General features: G+C 44.9%; 4 annotated features.

The window, feature by feature from the left end:
• Positions 4,253-4,882: an enhancer, noted in NCBI's record as "OCT4-NANOG-H3K27ac-H3K4me1 hESC enhancer chr15:84052681-84053310 (GRCh37/hg19 assembly coordinates)". NCBI's record gives its function as "activates a minimal SCP1, AML or CMV promoter by ChIP-STARR-seq in primed H9 embryonic stem cells {active_cell/tissue: H9 hESC(primed)}" and the evidence as "EXISTENCE:reporter gene assay evidence [ECO:0000049][PMID:30033119]".
• Positions 8,438-9,637: an enhancer, noted in NCBI's record as "CDK7 strongly-dependent group 2 enhancer chr15:84047926-84049125 (GRCh37/hg19 assembly coordinates)". NCBI's record gives its function as "activates an origin of replication core promoter dependent on BRD2, BRD4, P300/CBP, MED14 and CDK7 cofactors, with strong dependence on CDK7, by STARR-seq in HCT116 cells {active_cell/tissue: HCT116}" and the evidence as "EXISTENCE:reporter gene assay evidence [ECO:0000049][PMID:35650434]".
• Positions 8,438-10,077: a biological region, named in NCBI's record as "CDK7 strongly-dependent group 2 enhancer GRCh37_chr15:84047926-84049125".
• Positions 9,247-10,077: an enhancer, noted in NCBI's record as "H3K27ac-H3K4me1 hESC enhancer chr15:84047486-84048316 (GRCh37/hg19 assembly coordinates)". NCBI's record gives its function as "activates a minimal SCP1, AML or CMV promoter by ChIP-STARR-seq in naive H9 embryonic stem cells {active_cell/tissue: H9 hESC(naive)}" and the evidence as "EXISTENCE:reporter gene assay evidence [ECO:0000049][PMID:30033119]".

The following is a 20,094-nucleotide window of genomic DNA, read 5'->3' as shown; positions in this document are numbered from 1 at the left end:
GAAGTGTCTGTTCATGTCCTTTGCCCACTTTTTGATGGGGTTGTTTGTTTTTTTCTTGTAAATTTGTTTGAGTTCATTGTAGATTCTGGATATTAGCCCTTTGTCAGATGAGTAGGTTGCGAAAATTTTCTCCCATTCTTTAGGTTGCCTGTTCACTCTGATGGTAGTTTCTTTTGCTGTGCAGAAGCTCTTGAGTTTAATTAGATCCCATTTGTCAATTTTGGCTTTTGTTGCCATTGCTTTTGGTGTTTTGGACATGAAGTCCTTGCCCATGCCTATGTCCTGAATGGTAATGCCTAGGTTTTCTTCTAGGGTTTTTATGGTTTTAGGTCTAACGTTTAAGTCTTTAATCCATCTTGAATTGATTTTTGTATAAGGTGTAAGGAAGGGATCCAGTTTCAGCTTTCTACATATGGCTAGCCAGTTTTCACAGCACCATTTATTAAATAGGGAATCCTTTCCCCATTGCTTGTTTTTCTCAGGTTTGTCAAAGATCAGATAGTTGTAGATATGCGGCGTTATTTCTGAGGGCTCTGTTCTGTTCCATTGATCTATATCTCTGTTTTGGTACCAGTACCATGCTGTTTTGGTTACTGTAGCCTTGTAGTATAGTTTGAAGTCAGGTAGTGTGATGCCTCCAGCTTTGTTCTTTTGGCTTAGGATTGCCTTGGTGATGCGGGCTCTTTTTTGGTTCCATATGAACTTTAAAGTAGTTTTTTCCAATTCTGTGAAGAAAGGCATTGGTAGCTTGATGGGGATGGCATTGAATCTGTAAATTACCTTGGGCAGTATGGCCATTTTCATGATATTGATTCTTCCTATCCATGAGCATGGAATGTTCTTCCATTTGTTTGTATCCTCTTTTATTTCCTTGAGCAGTGGTTTGTAGTTCTCCTTGAAGAGGTCCTTCACATCCCTTGTAAGTTGGATTCCTAGGTATTTTATTCTCTTTGAAGCAATTGTGAACGGGAGTTCACTCATGATTTGGCTCTCTGTTTGTCTGTTGCTGGTGTATAGGAATGCTTGTGATTTTTGCACATTGATTTTGTATCCTGAGACTTTGCTGAAGTTGCTTATCAGCTTAAGGAGATTTTGGGCTGAGACAATGGGGTTTTCCAGATATACAATCATATCATCTGCAAACAGGGACAATTTGACTTCCTCTTTTCCTAATTGAATACCCTTTATTTCCTTCTCCTGCCTAATTGCCCTGGCTAGAACTTCCAACACTATGTTGAATAGGAGTGGTGAGAGAGGGCATCCCTGTCTTGTGCCAGTTTTCAAAGGGAATGCTTCCAGTTTTTGCCCATTCAGTATGATATTGGCTGTGGGTTTGTCATAGATAGCTCTTATTATTTTGAAATACGTCCCATCAATACCTAATTTATTGAGAGTTTTTAGCATGAAGGGTTGTTGAATTTTGTCAAAGGCCTTTTCTGCATCTATTGAGATAATCATGTGGTTTTTGTCTTTGGCTCTGTTTATATGCTGGATTACATTTATTGATTTGCATATACTGAACCAGCCTTGCATCCCAGGGATGAAGCCCACTTGATCATGGTGGATAAGCTTTTTGATGTGCTGCTGGATTCGTTTTGCCAGAATTTTATTGAGGATTTTTGCATCAATGTTCATCAAGGATATTGGTCTAAAATTCTCTTTTTTGGTTGTGTCTCTGCCAGGCTTTGGTATCAGAATGATGCTGGCCTCATAAAATGAGTTAGGGAGGATTCCCTCTTTTTCTATTGATTGGAATAGTTTCAGAAGGAATGGTACCAGTTCCTCCTTGTACCTCTGGTAGAATTCAGCTGTGAATCCATCTGGTCCTGGACTCTTTTTGGTTGGTAAACTATTGATTATTGCCACAATTTCAGGTCCTGTTATTGGTCTATTCAGAGATTCAACTTCTTCCTGGTTTAGTCTTGGGAGGGTGTATGTGTCGAGGAATTTATCCATTTCTTCTAGATTTTCTAGTTTATTTGCGTAGAGGTGTCTATTATTGTGTCTATTTGATTCTTCTCTCTTTTTTTCTTTATTAGTCTTGCTAGCAGTCTATCAATTTTGTTGATCCTTTCAAAAAACCAGCTCCTGGATTCATTAATTTTTTGAAGGGTTTTTTGTGTCTCTATTTCCTTCAGTTCTGCTCTGATTTTAGTTATTTCTTGCCTTCTGCTAGCTTTTGAATGTGTTTGCTCTTGCTTTTCTAGTTCTTTTAATTGTGATGTTAGGGTGTCAATTTTGGATCTTTCCTGCTTTCTCTTGTGGGCATTTAGTGCTATAAATTTCCCTCTACACACTGCTTTGAATGCGTCCCAGAGATTCTGGTATGTTGTGTCTTTGTTCTCGTTGGTTTCAAAGAACATCTTTATTTCTGCCTTCATTTCGTTATGTATCCAGTAGTCATTCAGGAGCAGGTTGTTCAGTTTCCATGTAGTTGAGCGGTTTTGAGTGAGATTCTTAATCCTGAGTTCTAGTTTGATTGCACTGTGGTCTGAGAGATAGTTTGTTATAATCTCTGTTCTTTTACATTTGCTGAGGAGAGCTTTACTTCCAACTATGTGGTCAATTTTGGAATAGGTGTGGTGTGGTGCTGAAAAAAATGTATATTCTGTTGATTTGGGGTGGAGAGTTCTGTAGATGTCTATTAGGTCTGCTTGGTGCAGAGCTGAGTTCAAGTCCTGTATATCCTTGTTGACTTTCTGTCTCGTTGATCTGTCTAATGTTGACAGTGGGGTGTTAAAGTCTCCCATTATTAATGTGTGGGAGTCTAAGTCTCTTTGTAGGTCACTCAGGACTTGCTTTATGAATCTGGGTGCTCCTGTATTGGGTGCATGTATATTTAGGATAGTTAGCGCTTCTTGTTGAATTGATCCCTTTACCATTATGTAATGGCCTTCTTTGTCTCTTTTGATCTTTGTTGGTTTAAAGTCTGTTTTATCAGAGACTAGGATTGCAACCCCTGCCTTTTTTTGTTTTCCATTTGCTTGGTAGATCTTCCTCCATCCCTTTATTTTGAGCCTATGTGTGTCTCTGCACGTGAGATGGGTTTCCTGAATACAGCACACTGATAGGTCTTGACTCTTTTTCCAATTTGCCAGTCTATGTCTTTTAATTGGAGCATTTAGTCCATTTACATTTAAAGTTAATATTGTTATGTGTGAATTTGATCCTGTCATTATGATGTTAGCTGGTGATTTTGCTCGTTAGTTGATGCAGTTTCTTCCTAGTCTCGATGGTCTTTATATTTTGGCATGATTTTGCAGCGGCTGGTACCGGTTGTTCCTTTCCATGTTTAGCGCTTCCTTCAGGAACTCTTTTAGGGCAGGCCTGGTGGTGAGAAAATCTCTCAACATTTGCTTGTCTGTAAAGTATTTTATTTCTCCTTCACTTATGAAGCTTAGTTTGGCTGGATATGAAATTCTGGGTTGAAAATTCTTTTCTTTAAGAATGTTGAATATTGGCCCCCACTCTCTTCTGGCTTGTAGGGTTTCTGCCGAGAGATCTGCTGTTAGTCTGATGGGCTTCCCTTTGAGGGTAACCCGACCTTTCTCTCTGGCTGCCCTTAACATTTTTTCCTTTATTTCAACTTTGGTGAATCTGACAATTATGTGTCTTGGAGTTGCTCTTCTCGAGGAGTATCTCTGTGGTGTTCTCTGTATTTCCTGAATCTGAACGTTGGCCTGCCTTGCTAGATTGGGGAAGTTCTCCTGGATAATATCCTGCAGAGTGTTTTCCAACTTGGTTCCATTCTCCCCTTCACTTTCAGGTACACCAATCAGACGTAGATTTGGTCTTTTCACATAGTCCCATATTTCTTGGAGGCTTTGCTCATTTCTTTTTATTCTTTTTTCTCTAAACTTCCCTTCTCGCTTCATTTCATTCATTTCATCTTCCATTGCTGATACCCTTTCTTCCAGTTGATCGCATCGGCTCCTGAGGCTTCTGCATTCTTCATGTAGTTCTCGAGCCTTGGTTTTCAGTTCCATCAGCTCCTTTAAGCACTTCTCTGTATTGGTTATTCTAGTTATACATTCTTCTAAATTTTTTTCAAAGTTTTCAACTTCTTTGCCTTTGGTTTGAATGTCCTCCTGTAGCTCAGAGTAATTTGATCGTCTGAAGCCTTCTTCTCTCAGCTCGTCAAAGTCATTCTCCATCCAGCTTTGTTCCGTTGCTGGTGAGGAACTGCATTCCTTTGGAGGAGGAGAGGCGCTCTGCATTTTAGAGTTTCCAGTTTTTCTGTTCTGTTTTTTCCCCATCTTTGTGGTTTTATCTACTTTTGGTCTTTGATGATGGTGATGTACAGATGGGTTTTTGGTGTCGATGTCCTTTCTGTTTGTTAGTTTTCCTTCTAACAGACAGGACCCTCAGCTGCAGGTCTGTTGGAATACCCTGCCGTGTGAGGTGTCAGTGTGCCCCTGATGGGGGGTGCCTCCCAGTTAGGCTGCTCGGGGGTCAGGGGTCAGGGACCCACTTGAGGAGGCAGTCTGCCCGTTCTCAGATCTCCAGCTGCGTGCTGGGAGAACCACTGCTCTCTTCAAAGCTGTCAGACAGGGACATTTAAGTCTGCAGAGGTTACTGCTGTCTTTTTGTTTGTCTGTGCCCTGCCCCCAGAGGTGGAGCCTACAGAGGCAGGCAGGCCTCCTTGAGCTGTGGTGGGCTCCACCCAGTTCGAGCTTCCCGGCTGCTTTGTTTACCTAATCAAGCCTGGGCAATGGCGGGCGCCCCTCCCCCAGCCTCGCTGCCGCCTTGCAGTTTGATCTCAGACTGCTGTGCTAGCAATCAGCGAGACTCCGTGGGCGTAGGACCCTCCGAGCCAGGTGCGGGATATAATCTCGTCGTGCGCCGTTTTTTAAGCCCGTCGGAAAAGCGCAGTATTCGGGTGGGAGTGACCCGATTTTCCAGGTGCGTCCGTCACCCCTTTCTTTGACTCGGAAAGGGAACTCCCTGACCCCTGGCGCTTCCCGAGTGAGGCAGTGCCTCGCCCTGCTTCGGCTCGCGCACAGTGCGCGCACCCACTGGCCTGCACCCACTGTCTGGCACTCCCTAGTGAGATGAACCCGGTACCTCAGATGGAAATGCAGAAATCACCCGTCTTCTGCATCGCTCACGCTGGGAGCTGTAGACCGGAGCTGTTCCTATTCGGCCATCTTGGCTCCTCCATAAAGTTTCCTTTCTAATCAGTAAGAGATGAAAGCACAAATGGAAAAATAGACAAAGGACATGCATAGGCATAAATTAAGGAGGAAATGAAAATGGTTAATAAACATAAAAAATCAAGGAAATATTAATCAAAACAATCATATCTTAAATCTTTGGAAAAGGGATTGAGTGCTCAACAAATAATGTTGAAAAACTCGGCCAAACTTTTAAAAAGCATTAAATTAAGTCCTTATCTATGTCAGACATCAAAATAAATATGAGAAAAATTAAAAGTTTAGGCCAGGCACAGTGGCTCATGCCTGTAATCCCAGCAATTTGGGAGGCCGAGGCAGGCGGATTACTTGAGCCCAGGAGTTCAAGATCAGCCTGGCCAATGCAGCGAAACCCCTCTCTACCAAAAATACAAAAAACTACTGGGGCATGGTGGTGCATACCTGTAATCCCAGCTACTCAGTAGGCTGAGGAATGAGAATCACTTGAACCTGGGAGGCGAAGGTTGCAGTGAGCTGAGATTGCACCACTGCACTCCAGCCTGGGCGACAGAGCAAGACTCAGGCTCAAAAAAAAAATAAAATAAAATAAAAAAATAAAAAAAATAAAAGTTTAAATGTAAATGAAAAAATTATAAAAATGAAAGGGGAATTGAACCTTGAGGACATTATGCTAAGTGAAATAAGCCAGTCACAAAATATAGGATTCCACTTCTATGAGGTACATAGAGTAGTCAAAATCATAGAGACAAAAAGTAGAACAATAGTTGCCAATAGCTAGAGTCAGAGAGGAATGGAGAATTACTATTTAATGTGTGTAGAGTTTTGGTTCTACAAGATGAAAAGGGTTATAAAGATGGTTGCACACATTATGAGTGAACCTAATATCACAGACTGTACACTTAAAAATAGTTAAGATGGGCTGGGAGCTGTGGCTGACATCTGTAATCCTAGCACTTTGGAAGGCCGAGGCGGGTGATCACAAGGTCAGGAGTTCGAGACCAGCCTAACCAATGTGGTGAAACCCTGTCTCTACTAAAAATACAAAAATTAGCTGGACGTGGTGGTGCACGCCTATAGTCCCAGCTACTCAGGAGGCTGAGGCAGGAGTATCGCTTAAATCTGGGAGGCAGAGGTTGCAGTGAGCTGAGATCGTGCCACTGCACTCCAGCCTGGGCAACAGAGAGAGACTCCGTCTCAAAAAAAAAAAAAAAAAAAGGTTAAGATGGTAGACTTTATATTGCATGCATTTTACCACAATAAAAAACATTTGGGAAAATAAATGGAGGTGGAATGGAAAATTATGTTCTTATATTCTTGATATAGAGGAAACCTTTCTTGAAGTAAGTTGATGTAAGGTTGATAATCTTGACTACATAAAAATGTAAAGCTTCTATAAGGCAAAAGAGTGTTTAAAGTTAAAAGACAAACAGGGATAAAGTCTTCATGACGTGACAAGCAAGGGGATAATATTATTATATAAAGAGCTCCTAAAAATTAATAAGAAAAAAACTGAACACACCTAGTAGTAAATGCCCAATGTCTGGTCAGCATAATAAATAATGATAGCAACAGTTAATTTACAGACTAAGAAATGAAAATAGTGAAAAGGTGTTTTACTTACCCTTACTAATAATCAAATAAATGGGAATTTAAACAATTAAAGATTATCATTTTCTACTTTCAAATTGACAGAAAGTTAAAAAGATGGAGAATACCAAATTTGGGTGAGGGTGTGGAGAAATAGGCATTCTCATGCTTTGTAGGTGAGGGTAGAGATTAAAACAATCTTCCTGGAGGGCAATTTGCCAACATATTTTAAAAACCTTAAAAATGAGCATACCATTTGACCTGTGACCAGCAATTATCTTCCTAGGAACTTATCCTAAGAAATTCATCATGTATGCGTGCGTACATTTGTTTATGGTTAACAGTTGTAAGCAAGCTTAATGTCCAATAGCAGGATTGGTTAAATGATTTTTGGCAGACTTACAGGAAGGAATACTAAACTACCATTAAAAAATAATGTAAAAGAAAATTTACTGCCATGTGAAAAGATTCATGATATATTCTTACATGGATAAAGTAAATTACAAAACAATATGTGTAACATTTAATGTAAAAGAGTGGTTACCTCTGGGGAGCCAGTTGTTTTTACTTTCTTTTTGCATTTTCTTTACATTGTCCATTTTTTAAATAAACAAATACTGATTTGTAATCAAAAGATACATAGTAAATGGTTTTTGTTTGTTTGTTTGTTGTTTGTTTTTTGAGATGGAGTCTCGCTCTGTCGCCCAGGCTAGAGTGCAGTGGCGCCATCTTGGCTCACTGCAACCTCCTCCTTCCCGGGTTCAAGCGATTCTCCTGCCTCAGCCTCCTGAGTAGCTGGGATTACAGGTGCCACCACCACACTTAGCTAATTTTTGTGTTTTTAGTAGAGACAGGGTTTCACCATATTGGTCAGGCTGGTCTTGAACTCCTGACCTCAGGTGATCTGCCTGCCTCGGCCTCCCAAAGTGCTGGGATTACAGGCGTGAGCCATTGTGCCTGGCCGCTATTTTAAAAATTACTATTGTTTGGAGATATCAAACATTTGAGAAATATAATGTCATATTCTTAAATATTCCAGTTCTGTAAGATCTCTTCAACCTGTGGTTATAAATGGAGACACATTATGAGTCATCATTCCTGTTTCAATGTCTCTGAAACCGTTTGCTGAGCTATTCTTCCTGGTTCCCTCAAAACCTCCTCATCGAGTTACTTCTGGGAGGAGAGTTGGGGTATCACAGAGACTTGCCTTCTTGCGCTCCATCCCCATCCAGGTCTGCTGCTGTGAAGCCACTTGAGGGCGCCTCCCCACTGTGACTGTGACACTGTGACCAAAGGGACCTGCCCAGACAGGATGCATGCCTGGGGACACTCTCTCTCTGAGCTCCAAATAGCAAGCCAAGGCACCTGGTGTCCTCACCTGCTGAGCCCCTGCCAGAAGTGAGGAGATGTCCCCCTGTCCCACTCTGGTCACACTTTGACACTTGGACCCCATTATCCCCCAGAATCCTACCACCTCCCCAAACATTCCTCCCACTCTTGTCTTCAGCCCTTCTCTTGATCAACCTCACACAAGGGTGCTGAAGTCCAGCCCCATCAGAGCCTCCTGTTTTTGAGACCTTCTTATCCTCCCTCTTGCCCCAACCCCTACCTCCCATACTGGCTTAAGACCCCTCTGTCCTGTAGCCAGAAAATACAGGTCACAAGCACTAGGAAAAATCATATGACTAGTCTCTCCCCAGTTTAACAGTGGACAAAGGTTTATTGCACTCCTACTGTGTGCAAAGGACGTTGGACATGGGGATGAGCACGCCCCCAGGAACTTCCACCCAGCTCACAACCCAGCAGGGAGGGGTTTGTGTCACATTCACCATCTGACTAGGGAGAGACAGAGTTTGTGGTGAATACCCACATTCTTAGCCTAAGATTCACCTGCTAATTGCATCTTCTAATGTTGTCCAAGTTTTGCTAGGTGACACTCCTCACTCCAAGGAAGCTGTGCCTTTCTTAGGGTAGCCCCCAGGGCATCTTGTTGCCAAAAGGCCTCAGTTTCCCTAGAGATCTCGGTTCCTACACTAACTGCCAAGCGCTGGAAGGGTGGAACCAAGATGAGGCACAGTGGGGCCGGTGCTCAGGAAAGCAGGCTCCTCTGGGGCAGAGAATGCCCGCCAGAGAACATGCCCCCCGACCTGGGCTCCCTTTCGGCCATTGATGAGGAAACCTGTCCCACGTCTGCGGCAGCGATGAGGCCTGGAGGGCAGGGCCTGGCGCTGCCTGGCAATGAGCGTCCCAGGTATTTGGTGAGTCCAGGAGCCCGAGGACTGGGCATAGGGTGGGGCCCGTCTCCAGTCAGTGTTGAAGGGACAGGAAATTCCTATTGGCAGGATGACCTCATGCTGACAGTGCTAGGGCGCGCCCGACAGGGGTTAATCTCAGAGACGCAGTGCCTTGTCCCGGGACAGGGCCCAGGCCACCGCCCGCGGATTCCTCAGAGGAGGGTGCGGGGAGCATCTTTAGAGGCTTGGAAGCTTAAATTACTTGCAGACTCCAGAGCACGGATGCCTTTCATTCGGGCCACCGCTCATCCAACTCCTTCTTCCATGCCCTCGTGTTAGATTTTGGGGCTCTCCTGCAGGTGCCTAGGGAAACTCGGATCCCGCACCCCACAGGGCTGTAAAACCAGCTCCTTCCCGTGCAGCCCAAGTTCCGCAGGGCTTGGAGGCAGGGTGGGTTCCCTCTGCTGGTGCACTCCCTGTCCTCGCCTTGGACCAGGCGGTTCCCCGTAACTCAGGAGTCCGCGATCAGGACTTGCTCAGCGCGGGAACGTCCCCTGCAAGACTGGGGACTGTGGCCGGGACACCTGGGCCAGGGCCAAGGGCGGGGTTGCGCGGTCTCCACGCTTGGCTTGGCCTGGGCCGCGCAGTCTGTGGTGTTGCCAGGTACTCCTGGAATCGCCCCGCGAGTGGTAGGCAAGGGGGTGCGGGTGGGGACGAGACGTGGTAGGGGAGCCTTCTGGAAAAGGCGCTCGTGTCTCAAGCCCCGCCCCCTCCCCCCACCACTCCCAGGTGCAGGTGGTGTGTGTGCCTCAGTGCAGACCGGCCCAGGCCTGTCAGGGCAAGCATCTCCCTCCTCCTCACCCCCACCCCGTTCCCCAGTCCTCCTTGGTCCCTCCCCTTCCCAGTGAGATGAGAGAAGCCACTGGGCACTAAGCATCGGGGCTGAATTGGGGGGCAGGGCGCAAAACAAGAGCCTTCCTTTCTCAAGTTGGGCTTAGAGAGCGCTACAGTTGGTGTGGGCTTCCATTCCATGTTTGTGATCTTTACTGGTATGCGGCATGAATGCAACAATAGACAGATGGGCCAAAGGATGGACGGATAGACTGATGCCCTGACTGTCCTCCCTGCCTCCAGTCCAGGTCTGGAGAGGTTGCGAAGCAGCCTCCCCATCTCTTCCAGTCCTGGAAGGGAAGAGGAGCCAGGAGCAAATTCCCTGACTCCCCCCAGAGCATGTAGGTGGGGCGGAAGTGGAGTCAAAGGTGACCTGACCTGGCAGAGGGAGGTAGTAAAAGCACTCTTGCTCTCCCAGGAAGGCAGCTCAGAACTTCCAGTCACAGAAAAATGGGAAATGGAGCATGGAGTGTCTCAGACTAGAGAAGGAACCCTGAGGAGGTTGATGCTTGGGCAGAGGTGTTAGGGGGAGGTGACTTTTAAGCCTTCAGACTTTGTCCGTTTAGTACTTGCTTTTGTTTATGGTTCCTTAGATGCTTAACCTGAGTGATGTACGTAAAAAATGTAACTCTTCTAAGCAATGAGGAAAAATAGGGAAGGAAACAGTGACTGAGATCTGAGCAAAGCGCCTGGAGAAAGCAAATAGGCCCAGCACTTGCCTGCAGTTTCCTGAGGCTTTGTTCACCTCTGTGTCTTCAGCAACTAGAATAGTGCCTGGCACATAAAAGACCCCCAGTAGCTATTTGTTGAATGAATGAATGAGAAGGGAGGAGAACCTCCAGACCCACCTGTTTCCATCTCTCAGCAGAGTCACCATCTTGCTGTGAGCCAGTCCCTGACTCAGCCCGGCTCTCTGCCAGGTGTCATTCCTTCTCATCCCCTCGGCCACTAATAGGAGGTTGCAGTGAAGGCCACTGCACTCCAGCCTGGGCGACAGAGTGAGACTCCGTCTCAAAAATAAATAAATAAATAAATGAATAAATAAATAAAACTCCACTGATGGCTGCCATGCAGCAGGAATGGCAGGTGGTGGGGCAGATACTGTGAGTCAGACAGAATCTCTGCCCTCTGGGCATTCCCAGTCCAGTGGGGAAAATGGACAAGAGGCAGATGTCATCAGTGGGGTGAATTGTGTGGGGAGAGGATGTGCATGCCTGCACAGGGGGACATAAGTGACAGGGGCTGTGTGAGCCCAAGGAGACCTCACCCATTGCTTAGGAGCAGGACTTTGTGAGTTCCGGGCAGATCCAGGCTTGAATGCCAGCTCCACCCTGGTATAACATCGGGCAAGTTACTTAAGCTACACTTCATTTCTTGCCTACCAAATGGACATGATGCCCTCTTCATAATCTGGTGTGAGATGAAATTGATATAATACATGCTAAATGCTCAGCCAGGGCCAGATACTGAATGTTAGTGATTCTTGTTAAGGGAGCATTCTTGTTAAGGTATTAAAGAGAAGGTGACATGGCTTAAAGGAGGACAAGGAGCAAAAAAGAGAGTAACTTGGTGATTCTAAGTGAAGTTATGGTAACTAAGCATGCCTGTAGAAGGAGAAAAGCTAAGAGAAAGGAGGGAAAGAGAAAATTCCCTCCGAGGGAAAGAGAAAAAGAAAGAGAAAGAGAAAATGTCTGATGAGAAGAGCAGGCTTGGGTTTCATGGGATGAGATGGAGAGGAACCTACCAGGAAAAGAATAAGAATTAATGGGATCTGTCCAGAGCCCAGTTATTAGGCTGAAAATCTAATATTTTAATGAGCCACTCAACAGTGTTCTAGTTAGGAGTGAGAGCTAAGAAGGCAAATAATGGGGCTAGTCTGAAAGTGGAGCTGATCGGGAGGTGCTGGAGGAGGAGACAGGCCTAAGAGAGAATCCTCAGTGTTTTGTTAAAGAGATTGACCACCAATTCAAGGACTTGGCACAGAGCCTGGCATGTAGTAGTGATCCCATAAATATTTATTGATGCCTGCTTAAAGAAATACAGGAGATAAACCTATTCTCTAGAAAACCATTGGAGACAGATGTAGGGGACTCTGATCATTGTCTACTAAACCTGTTTGCTAACAGAAGGACCCCAGTGCCTCGACCTCAGGACAAGCATCATGGTTGGCATAAAACATTTAGAGTAATGCTGTTCTCCTTTGTTTTGGTCAATGAGACATAAAGGAATTCTGGAGCCCAGACCTCAGTCAAAAGACATGGGTTTTTTTGTGTCTACTCTCTCCTTACACGTTGGGCCATTAGTGTCAAAATATGATACCTGAAGCTGCAGCAGCCTTGTTGCAACCGCAGGGAGACAAGCAATCGACAAAAATCCAATGTGCTGGGAATGGGACAGTATAGAAACAGAAAGACCAAGGGTCCTCGACGGCATGGATGAGCTGCACCAGTCCTGGCACCACCTAGCTTTAGACTTCTTGTTAAGTAAATGATAAATGTCATTTTTGATTAAGCCATTGGTGAGTTAACCGTTACTTCCAGCTGAACACATCCTAACTGATACAATGGGCAGGGCCACCGTGTTATATAATTCCTGTGGTAGTCTATGTGGAAGTACCCCAAGAGTTGTGTAGAATGGCCTCTTGTCAGCTGGTGATGGCTGACAGCCTGGGAATAGGACCTTAAGGTTTTGAGGACTTCGAAAAGTGGGTTTATAAGAACGCAGAAGACAACACTTCAAGCTCCGAGGTTCCCAGGATTTTCTCTCCTGGGGATTTTCACCACCTCTATTCCCAGGCCCTCCCTCGCCCACTCGCCGCCTACAGTTTCTACAGTTCAGCCAAAGAATTAAGAAGTCAATCATCTTCCTTTGCCTTGAACCTGCAGTCTTCACTAATGACTCTCTAGAGTCTCCATAACTTACTTTGGGGAGGTGCCCCTCCCCTTCCACATGGAGAAAGGCAGGCACAGCCCATGCAGACCATACTCCCCTTATGGCCAGCAACCTTCTCATGGCTCCTTCTGCTGAGGGGTGGAGGAGGAGGTAGTCTCCGGGAGCAGGATTGGTCCTTGCATTTCCCAAGATTAGTGGCCACCCTTGCTGGCAGCCCCCTGGATTCACTCAAGATTGAGCTGCTTATTAACTGCAATTCCAAGACAACAGGAAAATCCCTGTCTCTCATCTTCTTATTGCCTTGATTAGTTATCTTTTATACCTGTGGGTACATATTCAGAGTCACACTGGCTGCATGTTCAGCTTTCTCTCCCTACCAGATTAGAAAACTTGCAAGTTGGAGGTGCAACTATACAATATTTAATGACTATTTTAGTACTTGGGGTCAGATTTCTCTTCTGTATATATGTACCATGGGTCTCCTAACCCCACTTTAGAAAATTACTGTCCTACTGATCATTTTAGTCTAACTTTGGAATGGCTGTGGACTCTATGTGTATGTGTGTGCAGTGGGAAAGTACTTTTGGATTGTCTTAATTTTGTGAAGGACTAAAGTCTCCAGGGACCCTAGACCAGCCCAGATGAATAACGTAGTTCCAGTAGGAGGAACTGAAATCCTAACCACAAAGTAATTCTCCTGGACCTCCTGTACCTCCTGGTCCTCACTTGTTCCTTTCCTGTAGCATGTAGAAAGCTACCTTGTGGGCCTGGCGCAGTGGTTCATGCCTGTAATCCCAGCACTTTGGGAGGCTGTGGCAGGAAGATCACTTGAAGTCAGGAGTTCAAGACCAGCCTGGCCAACATGGTGAAACCCCATCTCTACTAAAAATACAAAAAAATTAGCCAGGTGTGGTGGTGCATGCATATAGTCCCAGCTACTCGGGAGGCTGAGGCAGGGGGATCACTTGAACTCGGGAGGTGGAGGTTGCAGTAAGCTGAGATCGCACCACTGCACTCCAGCCTGGGCAACAGAGTAAGAGACTCTGTCTAAAAAAAAAAAAAAAAACCCAGAAAGCTACCTCGTTGGCACAGGCCAAACCACCATTGCATCATCAGGACCCAGCACAGTGATAAGCACCCAGTAGGTCCTCAATAAATATTTAAGGAATATATCAATGTTGACATCAAGCTCATTCAGCAGTGTCAGAATCTGTGGTTAAAATCCGTTACTTTTCCTAGAGAGTATATTAATGATAGCTAATAATGTCATAGATAGAACATCCTTTGCCTAAGATACATAGAGATTAATTATTTAAGTCCATATAAAGAACTACAATCAAGTAGGGCAGGAGTTGAAAGGCATCATTAGGATATTTCAGCTGGAAGTCACTGTTGATCTGGGAGAGGGGCAGTTTCAGGAGGACTATTGAGAGAGGAGCTCAGATCTCTGTGGGTTGGGAGACAAATGGGGAACCAGAAGCTTAGAGAATCCAGGATAGAAAAGCCTTTGAAGATGCTTCATTGTGAAGGGAGAAAGGGAGCAGGATTTCTCAGGGCACCTGGCATTTTTCTAATGCCCTTCTCTTCCATTCCTTCCCCTACCTGGCATCCAAAACAATAGAAGTCAAGTCAGCTTAACAAAATGCACCCAGAAATATCACCCTGGTCCGACCTCCTCACCCCACCTGACCCCCAATAGAAGGAAGACAGCGTAGCAAAACATCATGCTTTGTATGAAGATACAAGTCTTCTGAAAGTTTCCTCTTTCCTCCCTTCAGAAAGTCCTACCTGGTCATTGCCTCAGAAACACAAGGGCAAGTAGTATTTGACCTTTTGGTCCAAGAACCCCTTGAGAACCTGACAGTAGCTATGGAAGGGGAACTGCCTATAATATGCAGATGCACAGAATATTACATCTATCAAACGGGGCTCAGACAAATCCCTGACCTCAGGGCTAGGAATCACGACTCTCGAACTACTGCAAGAAAGAGGGTGCCTTAAATACATATTGTCTGGAAGATTCCTAAGAAACCTCCTTCATTGCTCAAAGAAAGCCCATGGAAGGAAGCTTTATCAAATTCACAAATTTACTCTGCTTCCCTTGTTAAATCCATAAGGACTCCCTAGGGGAGGGAAAAGTTTAGGAACTGGTTCTCAGTCAGGCACAGGTGCGACTAGGCTCAGCTCCACGCCATCTCCTGAAACGTGGGTGGAGATGATGGAGGATTTCGTCTGGGCCCCCAGCTCTGAACACTATCTGCTCCACTGACTGAAAGGAGGCTCCCAGTCTGGCAGGGAAGCCAGGAACGGGGGCTCTGGCTCTGGGGCAGCTGCATGCCTGCCAGGTGGAGAGTTAGCATTACGCAGGGGTCCTGGGACCAAGTATACTGGCACCCCCCAGGAGAAGGGGATATGAGCACACCTTCATCCCTCTAAGCTACACCTTCACTGAGTCTTTGTACCTGCAAAGGCTGTGAGCCATGCAGTTCTGCTCTAATTCTAGCATGAGCCAGGCTGAGGGTAGCCCAGGAACTCAGCTTTGTTGACCTGAAGATTATTTTTTCCCCTCCAGTAGTTTTACTTCTGTCTCCTCTTCAAGCTAAAGTTTTCGGGTCCTTGGGTAGCTTTTTGGAGGCTTCTGTACAAATGTTTTTGGCAGTGAAAGCTACCCGTAACATCTCGAATTAGAAATGTATATTTTTAAATCCCTAATTGGTTCAATAACAATATGGAGAGACACACAGAGACACTCTGCTAAGTGGGACCTTTACTACTGGAATGTGGAATTTAATACGTTCATCATTTAAATCATTAAATTCTCACCAAAACATGTAAAGCAGCAATAGATTCTGTTAACCAGTCACTTTTCCTGATCTTGGAACAGCCCGGCTCTGAGCCTGAAAAGGTCCGCTGCTGTGACTTCACCCTTGTTCAGGGAGATGGTGTCATAAGGTGGTCTTAAAGTGCAGGTTGACCTTTGCTGAGTCCAAGCTCCAACACCCCCAGGTAGGAGTTCCTGGAAGTAACCTCCCCTCTCTGAGGCACAGTGTGATGGAAAGGACAGCATCCAGCTTGCAATACTGGATGAATTAAATCAGACGCAATCTACCACACACCCACCACAGTGCCTAGCATTTCAATAAGGGTGCTAAGTAGATGTGATTTCTCTCTAAGCTAGAAGGGGTTCTGTAGGAGTGCTGGACCACACACGAGGCTGGCTCAGGCATGCTTTTGCATTTGTGAGGCAGAGACAGCAGATGGCACAGCGCAGGGCAAGGCAGGGCAGACACGTGGTTCTAGTGGCTTAGCAGCAGGCAGCTCCCCTTGCCGAATCTCGGATCTCTATGTGGTTTGTGAAGGGACTGAGGCAGGAGGGGGAGGCTAGGGCAGAATTGTAAGAGCTTTGCCTTCAGCAACTAAAGAAACGACACCTCAATTAGAAAGAACTGTCTGGAATGTAGAAAGGTCAGGAACTTTGGGCGAAAGTAGTCGAGTCATTTTGGAATTTATAGTTGAAGCAAGTGCAGCCTGGGTTGGGTAGGGGAGGTTTCTGAGTGAAGCATAACTAGGCTTGAATCCCAGCTTGACCAGTTAGCTGAGGGAGGGTGAGTGTCGGTTGCCTTATTGGAGGAGAGAGAATAATAACACCTACCCTGGGGACTGTGATGAGATTGTGCAGACAAGGCACCTTGCTCAGTAGCATCTATCACTCTCAGGCAACAGTAGGTCAGGAATCCCTCGGGTCAGGAAAGCAGAATGCCAAACACTTTGGAGAAAACACAGGCTTAACCATGGCTTTACCTAAGGGAAAATATTTCTTGAAAAAGGAAATCCTGGAGGTAACATTTTGAATAATGCAAGTTAGTACCAAGTTAGGAAAGCCATATGGGAAGTTCTCTCATTAGCTCAGGTATTAAAAGCCCATGTCCCACAGATGGAAGGAGGTCACATTTCTTCTTCTTTACCACTCTACCATCTTCCAACTTGCCCTCTACCCTTCTTCCCCATTCAACTACCATCCCACCTCTCCCCTTACCTTGTTCAGTGACGTTTATTCAGTGTCTACACTGTCTACACTCACCTGCCACTTAATCCCGCCTCAACCAATCCGCCCACTCCCCCACCCCTCTAAGGCTGCCCTTGCCAAGGTCACACAGGGACCCACAGCCTCTCCATACATACTTCTTACCTTCTCTGGCCTGGGCAGCATTTCTGTTCAGTTCAGAAAACATTTATTATATACCTGCCCTGTTCAGGGCACAGGGAATCCTCAGGTGACTGTCTTCCTCTTTCTTTTGTTTTGTTTTTTGTCTTTCTTTGAGACGGAGTCTCGCTCTGTTGCCCAGGCTGGAGTGCAGTGGCGCGATCTCGGCTCATTGCAACCTCCGCCTCCTGGGGTCCAAGCAATTCTCCTGCCTCAGCCTCCTGAGTAGCTAGGATTACAAGCACCCGCCATCATGCGCGGCTAATTTTTGTATTTTTTTGTAGAGATGGGGTTTCACCATGTCAGCTAGGCTGGTCTTGAACTCCTGACCTCAGGTGATCCGCCCGCCTCAGCCTCCCAAAGTGCTGGGATTATAGGCATGAGCCACTGCGCCCGGCCCACTTCTTTTTTCTTAAAATTCCCTTGGCTCTTGACTTTTACAGCACTTTCCTTTCTTTCTCCCCTCTCTTCTGCGGGTTCATCTTGCCCAGTCACTCTTTAGGTGGACTTCCATCCTGACTCCCTTCTAATCCCAATTAACAGACTCTTTCCAAGAAAGTTCACCATCAAATCCAGCCCAGATCTCTCTCCTCAGCTGTTGACCCTCATTTCCTGCTTCCAAGGGACATTTTCAACTGAGATCAAGGGCACCTCAGATTCCACTTGTCCGATTTCACAGGCCCGCTGGTCTCACCACACTCTCTCATAGGTTTGGTGGGTTTTAGAGCTGTTTTCCTAAGGCCTGGGAGACCTAGGGCAATCTCCTGCTCTCTGCTCCCCGCTCCCCAGCCTCCCAGCCCCCTTGCCTGCTGCCCTTGTTGTCTAGAACAGGCTTCCTCCCTCTTAAACTGGCTCCTATTTGCCATCCTCTTGGGCCTCCTCGTGGAAGGCCCCTCAAAATTAGCTGGTTGGCTTGTTAGAAATGAAGGTTTCTTAGTACCCACCTTGAACATCTTTTCAAATTTTGAGAGGGAAGGCCCTGTTTGTACATTTTTACGAAGCTCCCCAGGTAATGACAATGCCCTCTCAAGTTGAGAACAAGAGAAAAAAGAGAGGATACATTCTAGATGAATTACAAGCACCAGTGGGTAGGATTTAACAATTGTCTGGATACAGAATGTGAGGGAGAGGGAAGAAAGAGAAGCCCTCCAGAATTTGAGACTGGGAGGATGACATACCAGTGAGTGAACTATAGGAGCCCTAAAATGATTTTTTGTGGGTGAAGACATTAAATTCGGTTGTTTTACCTTCAGTTTGCCACGCTAAGGAGACCTGAGTAGAAAATGAATGAAAAACATTGCCAAGGTCCTTTCTGAAATTACTTGTGTAAATTCAAAACTATCTTTTATTGTTTTCCTTCGCCTAATGTTAAAACCCAAGTTGTAAACCCAAATGAAGGGATAATACAAATGATCTTAAAGTAGACAGATCTGTGTCAGTGTTGACTAGCAAAAGGGGAGAATACCTGGAATTGAATTAAAGCATGAGCTGTAAAAGAAGCTGCTTAATTAGAGCTCAAACTTATCAGCACATCTCTTTCTCCAAGTATTTTCTAAAACAATTATCCTAATTTATGTTTTTGAATTGCAAAAGGAATAGGTACCCCTGAACTCTCACCTGCCACTTTCCAAAAAAAAATTAAGTCTTCTTGGAGAGTCTCTTGAAAATGCTGTCTTGTATTGGCACAGATGTTTATTTGTATTTTAAAATAAGACAACACAATGTATTGATAAAATCTACCTCTACAGAATCAATGCCATGGTCACTGAAATGCAAGATTAAAGAAAAAGTGTGTTTCCTAATTGTTTATACTATAAAGTTAATCCATTGAAATCTGAACCCTAAAATTATAGTTCAGTCTTAACACGATCTAGCAATATAGAAAATTATAACTGAATACAAGGTTTAAAGTTACGAAAGAGAATTAGAAATATAGCAACTGAACCACTGATGATTAAAGAAAACTCTATTGTAAAGACCCAACACTAAGTGTTTCATGTTAACATTTGCTATTTCAAGACTTGTGCTTTTATAGATACGAAAGTATTTAAATTTGCTGTTATATTCTTTATGGCCTTAAATCAGCAAAGCCCAAGCTTCTCCATGACCAGAACCAAATGTTATTTTCTAAAGAAAAGAGCTGCAGGATCAGGGAGGTGTCAAGCAATTCATCAGAAGGAGGAGGACAAGAAGCCAAGACAAACCTTGACTCTTTAGGGCATAGTGCATACTTAACCCTTTATCATAAAATATAAACACTTTTTTTAATGGAAAGAACATTTCTGAATTCATGTTTTCTTCTCAGTTTAAAGATAATTTGAAGTCCTAAATTCAAGTTTAATAACCAGAGATAGAACAGATCATTAGAGCTAGCAATCAATTGCAGGGTCCTCCTTTACAGATGAAGAGTGTGGGATGGGGCAACAGTGAGCCCAGGTCAGTGGCAGAGCTAGGAGCACCTCCCGGGGTCCCAGCGCCCTCCCGCATGTGAGCTCCCACATGTGAGGCCATCATCTGGAGCCTTCTACTTCCACGCATACTTTTTTTTTTTTTTTTTTTGAGACAGAGTCTCTCTCCTTTGCCCAAGCTGGAGTGCAGTGGCACGATCTCAGCTCACTGCAACCTTCGCCTCCCGGATTCAAGTGATTCTTCTACCTCAGCCTCCCGAGTAGCTGGGATTACAGGCGTGTACCACCACACCCAGCTAATTTTTGTATTTTTAGTAGAGATGGGGTTTCACCATGTTGGTCAGGCTGGTCTCGAACTCCTGAGCTCAGGCAATCTGCCTACCTTGGCTTCCCAAAGTGCTAGGATTACAGGAATGAGCCACCATGCCCGGCCTCCACGCATACTTTTAAACTGAATAAAAGCAGTGCTTCTCATTCTTAAGGTCTCCAATGGACACCATCAGAATTAACTTTAACACGTGTCCAAATCCTGGAAATAAAATATAGATGGTAAATTTTGCTCAATCAAAAATTTTGCTCAATCAAAATTTTAATTTTTTAAAGCTAAAACATTCTTCTCATGACTGAACAATTTTCATTTTGAAAAGTTCAGTTGTGTATGTGTGAGTTCATGATGTCATAATGGAGATTGGGTTCAATTCAATAAAGAGATATGAAAGACCTAT

This window comes from Homo sapiens, chromosome 15, assembly GCF_000001405.40.
Source record: "Homo sapiens chromosome 15, GRCh38.p14 Primary Assembly".
Lineage (NCBI taxonomy): Eukaryota > Metazoa > Chordata > Mammalia > Primates > Hominidae > Homo > Homo sapiens.
This window is presented reverse-complemented; position numbering and strand designations above follow the sequence as displayed.